General features: G+C 40.7%; 1 long non-coding RNA gene across 1 annotated transcript; it reads right to left on the reverse strand.

Annotated features, from left to right (window-relative positions):
* Window positions 1-4,033: 4,033 nt before the first annotated feature.
* LOC124903655 (uncharacterized) lies at window positions 4,034-6,358 on the reverse strand. The gene is made up of 2 exons (XR_007065009.1): window positions 6,302-6,358; window positions 4,034-4,166 (listed from the first exon to the last, which is right to left on the reverse strand). It is a non-coding gene; the product is annotated as an uncharacterized LOC124903655 (long non-coding RNA).
* Between the last annotated feature and the right edge of the window lie 4,547 nt (window positions 6,359-10,905).

Below are 10,905 nucleotides of genomic sequence, written 5' to 3' on the forward strand. Positions count from 1 at the left end.
TTCCTAAAAACAGTTTAACAATGTGACCCAGAAATTCTAGGTCTAAGACAAGAGGGCAAAGATAGAGATGTAAAGATGTTCTTGGTAGCATTGCTTAGAATGGTGGAAGAGGGAGGATAGTCTCACTGTCCATCCACAAGGAGTCATTTCACAAACCCTGCTACATGTAAATCATTGCCATAGTTAAATGTTAAATCTACATTTACAGTTAGTAACAGAGAAAGAAGTCTTGGATATATTTTGAAATCAGGTCAGAAAAATTATGTGTACAATAATCTTATTTTTATCTTAAAAATATGTGCTTATGGAGTTTTTTATTAAAAAAATTCATGATAATACCAAGTGTTTATGGTGGTTACTTCTGGGTAGTGGAATTTGAACTTTTACTGGCTTCTTAGTCTTTGTAGCTTCTGTGCTGTTCAGTTCTACACTGACACATAGGAGGTGCTGGGGAAATATTTGCCGATAAGGTGAACACAACACTCCAGCATCAGGGGTTTCATGTGGCTATAAGGAAGGTATTTCTACCATGATGCTTGGCAAACACAGGAAAGGATCATTAAAGTCGCATCTGGAATCCCCTTTTCTGAAGGTGTTTTTTTAAAGAATAGAATTATCTTATGATCTTGAAATGACAAAGGTTTTTCTTAGTATGTCACAAACCCGGGAGACCCCCCCGCAAAAAAAAATTTGATTACATAGAAGTTTTTTAAAAAACAGAGCTGCGGAACCAAAACCACCCTAAGCAAAGTCAAAATACAAAAGAAAACCCAGGAAATAATGTTTGTGAAGCAAGGCGTGGAAAATGGCTAATTCCCCTAATGTATAAAATCAATAAGCAAAAGAGCAGATTCATAGAAAAATGGACAAAAGATAAGAACAGTTTGTAAGAAAAGAAACACAAGTGATTCTTGGGCAAATGAAAACATGCTCTGTGTTATTCAGAGTAAGATAAATGCAAATTAAAACTATGCTGAGATATCAATTTTCACCTATCAGATTGGCAAAATTAAAAAGAACTCAATAATACATGGTGCTTGATGCCACTATGGGAACTCAAACATTCCTTGAGGGATGGGTGTAAATTTTTTACAACCTCTATGGAGAAAAGTGTGTCATTTGACCCAACTATTACACTTTTAGAAATTTATCCCACAGACATTTGCACAGGAGCAAATTGCACCGGTATCAGATTATCGATTATAGTTTTTTTAAATAATAGCAGAAGAGTAGAAATAACCCAAACATCCATCAGTAGGAGGTTGCTTAAACAAATTATAGGGTACTACATGGTGTACTCTGCCACTCAGAAAAGAAAATAAGAAAGTTAACTGTGTACTCATAAGGAAGGATCTCCAAGATATGTATTTAAGAGAAAGGTGAAAAAAGCAAATAACGGAGAAGCATTTTTCATATTAAAAAATAAAAGGAGATGATATGTGAATATCATATATATACTATATATAGTGTGGATATGTATATACATAAACTATACACACTATATATACACATATACATATACACACTATATATAGTATATATGTGTGTATATATACACATATACATATACACACTATATGTAGTATATATATACACATATACATATACACACTATATGTAGTATATATATACACATATACACACTATATATAGTATATATACATATACACACTATATATAGTGTATATATGTATATACACCATACACACATACATTTTGCTTATGTATGCACAGGATATTTCTAGAAGAATACCAAAGAAATTGGTTCATTTGTTGCTTCAGGGATAGAGGTAGGGGGAAGGTGGTAAATGGAAAAAGGGAGACATTTCACTGTTTATCCTTTTGTATTTTTTGGAATTTGGACCATGCAAAAGTATTACCTATTCAAAACATTAATGGGTCAGGCATGGTGGCTCACACTTGTAATCCCAGCACTTTGGGAGGCTGAGGCAGGCAGATCACTTGAGGCCAGGAGTTTGAGAAACCCTATCTCTATTAAGAATACAAAATTATTGGGGCATGGTGGTGCATACCTGTAATCCCAGCTACTCAGGAGGCTGAAGTACGAGAATTGCTTGAACCTGGGAGGCAGAGGTTGCAGTGAGCTGAGACTGTGCCACTGCATTCCAGCCTGGGCAACAGACTGAGACTCTGTCTCGAAGAGGGAAAACAACAAAAAAAAAACCATTAACAGAGGATCCTTCCTACTTCAGAGCTTCCTATACACTGTTTCCACTGCTGGAGGTGTTCTGATGTTGACTGACTTACACACACACACACACTCCTCCTGGAAGTATTTTATCTTTCAGATCTCTGTTCAAATGTTACTTCCTCCAGGAAGTCTTACCTATCACCTCCACCTCCTCCGCAGAAAGGGAGCTGTTATACCCATTCATGGTACCTTGTGAGATTTATCACAATGGGTATCAATTAATAATTAACATCTGTCTTCCTTGCTGGAGGTACCAGAGGGACTAGTCTGCCAATGAACCCCAGGCACCAAGTCCAGCATATGCCACATAAGACACGCATCTCAGAGACTTTCTTCTGTTGGAAGGGAGGGAAGAAAATAGGAAGAAATAACCACAGTTACACTCCTAGCATGAGCCAGACAGTGGTCTATGCGCTTTATGCAGATTAGCACATTAAATTCTCACAAGAGAGTTGTGATTCTTGCACAGATGAAAAAAACAGGCTCAGAGAGACCAAGCAACCTGCCCAAGATCCCCAGGCAGAGGCATGATTCAAACCAGGCAGGCTGGTTCCAGAGCCTATGCTCTTGGCTCCTAGAAGGGAAAACAGAAGAAAGGGAAGAAGAGGAGAGAGGGAAGAAGAGAGGAGGTTGCTCACAATATCAGGAGGATGCATTTTTCTGCTGTCTCCAGTTCAGTATCTCACAAGACCAGCAAGCCTTCCAGTCTGGGAAGTTATAAGAACATCATTGTATTACTCCATTTTCATACTGCTGTAAAGAACTGCCTGAGACCGTGTAATTTATAAAGGAAAGAGGTTTAACTGACTTACAGTTCAGCATGGCTGGGGAGGCCTCAGGAAACTTACAATTGTGGCAGAAAGTGAAGAGGAAAACAATGCATCTTCTTCACAAGGCAGCAGGAAGGAGAAATGCCAAGCAAAGAGGGAAGCGTTCCTTATAAAACCATCAGATCTCGTGAGAACGCACTGTCATGAAAACAGCGTGGGGGAAACTGCCCCCATGATTTAATTATCTCCACCTGGTCTCTCCCTTGACATGTGGGGATTATAGGGAATGTAATTCAAGATGAGATTTGGGTGGGGACACAAAGCCTAATCATATCAACCATTAATGGGGATTCTGTAATGTATATGAAACACTTGCAGACTGACACTACTGGACCTCAACAAAGAGACAGCAGACTTGAAGTATGACAGCTGTCTTATCTAGAGGAGCAGGTAACATGCATTGTAGATAAATACACTATCTGATGTGGGTTAATAGGCTTCATTGAATTAATGATGACAGAATAATTACAGCGACAAGCAACAGCAGCAGGGACTCTAATTGAGGATAATTCAAGCACACGGCAAGATCGGAAGTTTTGACTTTAGGACTATGGAAACTTCCCTGAGATTGGAGATTTATTATTTCTATTATTTTAAATCAACAATATCCACCACTGGCAAGGTGCAGTGTCTCACACCTATAATCCCAGCACGTTGGGAGGCTGAGGTGGGCAGATCACTTGAAGTCAGGAGTTCAAGACGAGCCTAGTCTGTTTAGTAAAGATGGTTAAACCTTGTCTCTACTAAAAATACAAAAATTAGCTGGGTGTGGTGGCATCTGCTTGTAATCCCAGCTACTCGGGAGGCTGAGTCAGGAGAATCACTTGAACCTGGGAGGCGGAGTTTGCAGTGGGCTGAGATCATGCCACTGCACTCCAGCCTGGGTGACTGAGCAAGACTCCATCTCAAAAAACAAAAACAAAACAGTATCCATATCTACCATAGCATGTCTGAGCTCTCTGCAAGTCAATGGGAAGTTATCCACAGGACAGGATTTCCTTACTTTTATTTGTTAATAAGAGAAATGGAAGGGAATGGGAAATCAGAAAAGCAGAGGCATACCAATTTTTGCCATTTCTCCTCACATAGAATTTGTTCCTCATCTTAAAGGCTTGGACAGGATGCTGAAAAGTATAAGAGAATGGGGATTACATTCAGGTAATCACAACAGCAATAATAATAGTTATCATTTATTGAACCTTTACCTCCAAACAGCATCTAAAGTAAGCACTATTTATACCTTAGCCCACTGAATTCCCAAACTAATTTTGTAGAGTGGGAACAAATGTGTTTGCCCATTTTATGGGTAAGACAACTGAGGCTCTGAGAAGTAAAGTGATTTGCCTAAGCTAGGAAAATGCAGAAGTTAAGAAATGAAAGCATTAGAATAATACCCAAGAAGGGGTCATTTCTGAAGGAGGAGATGGATTCATGAACAAACAAGCAGGCAGGCCAATATGTAATTTGTTGATAAGCATGAATATATTTAATTAAATAAGGATCTACTGGATACCTGTCACAAGCCCAGTGCAAGGTCCTTGTGGCAGATGGTTTTTTTCCAAAGGTGGCCATAGTGATATCTCCCATACCACATGCTGTCATAATGTGACCTTTTATTTCTCTTGTTGAGTGATGAAGTCCATGATCCCTCCCCTTTTAACCTTAGAAACTGCCTCAATCATTAAGATTACAGCAGAAAATATGCTATTTGATTTCCAGGGCTAGAACATAAAAAGCATATGCACTTCCTCCTTGTTTTCTTGAGCTACTCGCTGTTGGACCCCAGCTACTATGTTGTGAGGAAGTCCAGTTAGCCCACCTGAAGAGACCACCTAGGGAGGCCACATGCAGACGTTTTGGCTAACTGGCTAGCTGAGGTCTCAGCTAACAGTGAGTATGAAATACAGGCATGTGACAGAAGATTCCTCTAGATGCCTTTAGTCCCCAGCCATCAAGTCACCCTCAACTTTTGAGTTTTCCCAGCTGGGTCCCCAGACATCATGAGGCAGAGCAAGCCACTCTCTCTGGTCTGATTCTTGACCTACAGGATCTGTGAGTGTAATAAAATTGTGGCTTATAGCACTAAAAATTGGTGTGATTTGTTACCCAGTAATAGCAACTGGAAGAGCCCTCATATATTTTTAATACAAAAAAAAAGTGTGTGAAACAGGACCTGCCCTTCTGTTTAATTTGGAAAACAAGACTTCTATAACAATGTTATTTACAAAATGTATCTTATAATAGCCAAAAGGTGGAAATAATCCAAATGTCTGTAAACAGATAAATAAACAAAATGGGGTCTATCCATACAATGGAAAGTTATTTAGCCATAAAAAGAAATGAAGTACTGATATATTCTACGACAGAAATGTAGAAATTAGAAATTAGAAAACACTGTGTTTCGTGAAAGAACCAAGACACAAAAGGCCACATATTGTATGACTCCATGTGTATCAAATACTCAGAATGGGCAAATCCACAGAGACAGAAAGTAAATTAGTGGTTGCCAGAGGCTGGGGGACAGGAGTGAAAGAGTGGCTGCTTAATGGTAGAGGTCTGGGGTTGGAGGGTGATGAAAACATCCTAGAATTAGACAGTGGTGATAGTTGAAAAATCTTGAGAATACACTAAGACCACTAAATTATACACTTTTAAATGGTGAGTTTTATAAGACATGAATTATATCCCAATGTAAAAAAAAGCAATGTGCCATATTAGGACCTTCTGTGAGGGTGGAAACTCATCAGCTTTGGGGTCAAGTAGATCTGGGTTGTTGTCCAGGGACTACCAGTGCCTAATTGTATGGACTTGAGCAAGTTTCTCAGTACCCAAGGGCTCAGATTATCCATCTGTGAAATGGGAATAATAAGACTCACTTTGCAAGGCTGCTGTCAGGATTAATGATTGTCTTTATCAAAGATGGTAACAGAAACTCACTCGAGCAGCATAAGCCAAAATAAGCATTTTATGAAAGGAATCAGGGACATTTTACAGAAGCCCAGGTCACTAAGAACAATTTGGCCACATAAGAAACTTGAACCAGGAATTTAAAATATATCAAAAGCCAAGGTTGATATTCTTTCTGGCGTATATGTAGTGAACAGAGAAATTTCTTTCAAATTATTCATTCGTGGAAAATCAAGATTTGGCATTGCATTTTAAAGTTAATCCATTAGAGTCACTTAGTTATTTGCAAAATAACATTTTGGTAAAGGAGAATTTATTTGAATATCAAATAAGAAAAGGTTCAATACCCTACCTGGTAGAGCTGGAAAACAGTTAATGATCACAGGCTTGGAACACAAAATCAACCTCCTGTAACAAATTTAGTTTATGACTTTAAAAGGAAAAATGGACTTTTCTACAATAAACATTCAAACAAACATGGTTCAAACAAACATGGTTTCCAATAATAAATGTTTTTAAATCTCAAGGTCATAATAAATCAGTCCTGGGACTCTTAAAGCAAACTTTTTTATAGTATAGGAAAGTGCTTTCCTATTTTATAATCAAAATTAGAAGGAAACTAGACTCTATGTTGACAAGAGACAAACTTACACATAGACTTTAAGTTAATTCTTTAGGGTAGTTGCCTTAATAGCCATTGACCTTCTTTATTAGTCTGAAGGAGTGATTCTCAGCTCTAGCTACACATTGAAATCACTGAGTACCTTTTTAAAAATACCAATGTCACCGGCCGGGCCCAGTGGCTCACATCTGCAATCCCAGCACTTTGGGAGGCCAAGGCGGGTGGATCACTTGAGCCCAGGAATTCAAGACCAACCTGGGCAACATAGTGAGACTCTGTCTCTCCAAAAAATTCAAAAAATTAGCCAGGCATGGTGGCACATGCTTGTAGTCCCAGCTACTTGGGAGGCTGAGGACAGGTGGTTGTAAGCTTCTATTTCTCATGTTGAGTGATGAAGTCTATGATCCCTTCCACTTGAACCTTAGCAACTGCCTCAATCATTAAGATTAAGATTACAGCAGAAAAGATGCTATTTGACTTCCAGGGCTAGAGCATAAAAAATCATAGGCATGTCCTCCTTGCTTTCTGGAGCCACTCACTCTTGCACACCAGCCACCATGTAGTGAGGAAGTCCAACTAGCCCATGTGAAGAGAACACCTGGGGAGGCCACATGCATACATTTTGGCTAACTGGCTGGCTGAGGTCCCAGCTAACGGTGAGTATTAGAAGGATCGCATGAGCCTGGGAGGTCGAGGCTGCAGCGAGCCGTGTTCGTGCCACTGCACTCCAGCCTGGGCAACAGAGTGACCCTGTCTCAAAACATAAAATTAAATTAAAAACAAATAAAATACTAATGTCCTGATCCCACTCAAAAAGTCTGATTTAATCCGTATGAAGTAGGGCCTGGCACGTTTGACGAACAAGCAAGGAGGCAGGAATGGCTGCAGCGGAGTAAGCAATGGCGAGAGGGACGGGAGATGAGGCCATTGAGGCTAGGGCAGGTGTGTCCTGGCATGCCAACGTGAGGGCTTGGGATTTTCATCTAAAGAAATGGGGAGCCATCACGGGGACCACTTGGCTAAAGTAGCAAAAAACCAACTCAAATCAGTCCAAGAAAAGTGGGAAGTTATTGGCTTTTCTAAGTCTAGATAGAGCTGATTTAAAGCTCAACATTATATTATGTCTCTCTCTTTCTCTCCCCCACTTCAATGTCCCTCTCCCTCTCCCTCTCAATGACTTTCCATCTTTTGGCTCGTTCTCCCTATAGACGAGATTTCTCCTCATGGTATAGGAGACAGCCCCTGGCAGTCCCTGACTCACTTCTTTCAGCCCCATTATTCAAAAGCCAAGACCCTGTCTCTCACAGCTCTGTATTAAAGAACAAAAAACATTCTGAATAGGTGATTGGCTTAGCTAAGGTCACGTGCCCATAGCTGGACCAATCCACATGGCCAGGATATTGGGGAACTCTGATTGGCCTGGTCACTTGCCCAGTCCTTCTACGGGAGTGAGGGAGAAGGCAGGATGCTGGGACTGGAAATTATCAGGACTGATGTGGGTAAAAGAAAGTGAGGCCGGGTGCAGTGGCTTACGTCTGTAATCCCAGCATTTTGGAAGGCTGAGGTGGGTGGATTATCTGAGGTCAGGGGTTCGAGACCAGCCTGACCAACATGGTGAAACCCCATCTCTGCTAAAAATACAAAATTAGCTGGGTGTGGTAGCACACACCTGTAGTCCCAGCTACTTGGGAGGCTAAGGCAGGATAATCGCTTGAACCCGGGAGGTGGAGGTTTCAGTAAGCCGAGATTGCGCCACTGCACTCCAGCCTGGGCAACAAGAGTGAAACTCCGTCTCAAAAGAAAAGAAAAGAAGAGAGAGAGGGAGAGAGAGAGAGAGAGAGAGAAAGAAAGAGAGAAAGAAAGAGAAAGCGAGAAAGAAAGAGAGAGAGAGAGAGAAAGAAAGAAAGAAAGAAAGAAAGAAAGAAAGAAGGAAAGAAAGAAAGAAAGAGAAAGAAAAAGAATAGAAAAGAGAGAGGAGATGCTCAACAGTCAAAACAATCCAGGTTTACGGCATGGTGGTGTAAAATTCTACTCTTGCTTTGCCCATTTGATTCACCCATGTGTGTGATGGGCCGTAGAGGAATAGTAACATTTTTTTTCTTTATTCTTATCCCTCTACTAACTCGGGCAGACCAGATAGAACACTTAGAGCTCCATAGAACCTTCTCTTCCTCTCTCTTCTCTCTTCTTTTCTCCTTTCTTCACTCCTTCTCTCTCTCACCCCAGTTTATTCTCCTGTCTTTGAATATTGCCTTTCTGAGCTAAAAGAAGAACTACCATCAACCCAGCAATCCCATTACTGGGTGTATACCCAGACGAATATAAAGCATTTTACCATAAAGACACATACACGTGAATGGTCACTGCAGCACTGTTCACGATAGCAAAGACATGGAATCAACCTAAATGCCTGTCAATGACAGACTGGATAAAGAAAATGTGGTACATATACACCATGGAATATTATGCAGCCATAAAAAAGAACAAGATCATGGCTTTTGTGGGAACATGGATGGAGCTGGAGCCTATCATCCTCAGCAAACTAACGCAGGAACAGAAAACCAAACACCACATGTTCTTACATATAAGTGGGAGCTAAATGATAAGAGCTTACGAACAGAAAGAAGGAAATAACAGACACTGGAGTCTACTTGAGTGGGGAGGGTGGGAGGAGGAAGAGGAGCAGAAAAGATAACTATTGGGGACTGAGCTTAATACCTGGGTGATGTAATGATATGTACAACAAACCTCTGTGACAAATCTTTATGTAACAAACTTTCACATGTATCCTCAAACCTAAAATAAAAAAAAAATTTAATAATAAAAAATTAAGAATTAAAAAAGATCACCTTTCTCTACTTTTCTGCTTTTCTTTCCAACAAACATTCAAACAAATATGGTTTCCTATAACATTTTTTTAACCTCAAGGTTCTAAGTCAACAGAGCAGAAAGTGGTCACTCAAGGACGCTTGACATCACTTCCCAGTCTACATATCCAACCCTGAATGACAAATATTGGTGTCCAATTTCAAAATTCCAGGAGAAATAATACAATTGTCCTGGCTTGGTTCAGGGAACCAAGGTCCCAAGGTCTTACGGTCCACCGTTTTTTTCATCACAGGTACAAAGGCAAACTCTGATAAACTAAGCAGAGAAACATATAGTTCTATTGAATCATTGGTAGTCAATAGCATACCAACTGCTGGCCAGATACCAGGCTAAAAGTTTTTTCATGCTTTTTTTTTTTTTTTTTTTTTTTTGAGACAGAGTCTTGCTCTGTCGCTCAGGCTAGAGTGCAGTGGCGCGATCTCGGCTCACTGCAATCTCCGCCTCCCAGGTTCAAGCGATTCTCCTGCCTCAGCCTCCTGAGTAGCTGGGATTACAGGCATGCACCACCACACCTGGCTAATTTTTTTATTTTTAGTAGAGATGGGGTTTAACCATGTTGGTCAGGCTGGTCTCAAACTCCTGACCTCAGATAATCCACCCACCTCGGCCTCCCAAAGTGCTGGGATTACAGGTGTGAGCCACCGCACCCGGCCTCATGCATTATTTCATTGGTGCATCATAATTGCCCTATAAGTTAGGCACTATTATTACCCCCATTTTACAGATGAGGGAGTCGAGGCTAGGGTGGTCAAGTGAACTTGCTCAAGGTCACACAACTAAAATGATTTTCTGAATAAAGAGCACTTGTTCTTTTTTTTAAGAGACAGGGTCTCGCTATGTTGCCCAGGCTGGTCTCGAACTCTCGGACTCAAGCAATACTCCTGCCTCGGCTTCCCAAAGTGCTGGGTTTACTGGCGTGAGCCACCACGCCTGACCTCAAGATCATTTGTTCTTAACCACCATACTCTACTGCCACTTACCACACCATGGTGCTGTGATTATCCCCGCAAAAGATAGGAGGCTAATGTAATAAATGCTCTCAATTGTGTGAACACACTGGACTACCTTACTTTACATGAGAAAAGTACTGGAAGGAGCAAATCCAAAGCTAGTGATAAAGAGGAAAGCAGCCCCTGACAGCAGGGAACTGGCCTGGTACTGACAGGTCAATCTCGGTGTTTTCCTAAACATAAACAATTTCACAGAGCATCAATGTTAGACAAAGCCACTCTGTAGTCATGATGAATCAGGACAGAAAGAAGACTCCGTAATCACACGTGAACACAGACAAAACAGGAACATTGTTCAAGCCACAAAATGCCAAACATGACCTTCTCCTGGTGAATGCGAGTAACTAGTGTTCTTCACCAATCATAGTTTTAGCCTCGCTCTAGTCTGCTTTCCCTCCCTTCCTTATAGATAAAATTTATTGAGAGAGTCAATGG

The sequence above is a fragment of the Homo sapiens genome, chromosome 16, assembly GCF_000001405.40.
Source record: "Homo sapiens chromosome 16, GRCh38.p14 Primary Assembly".
NCBI classification, from domain to species: domain Eukaryota; kingdom Metazoa; phylum Chordata; class Mammalia; order Primates; family Hominidae; genus Homo; species Homo sapiens.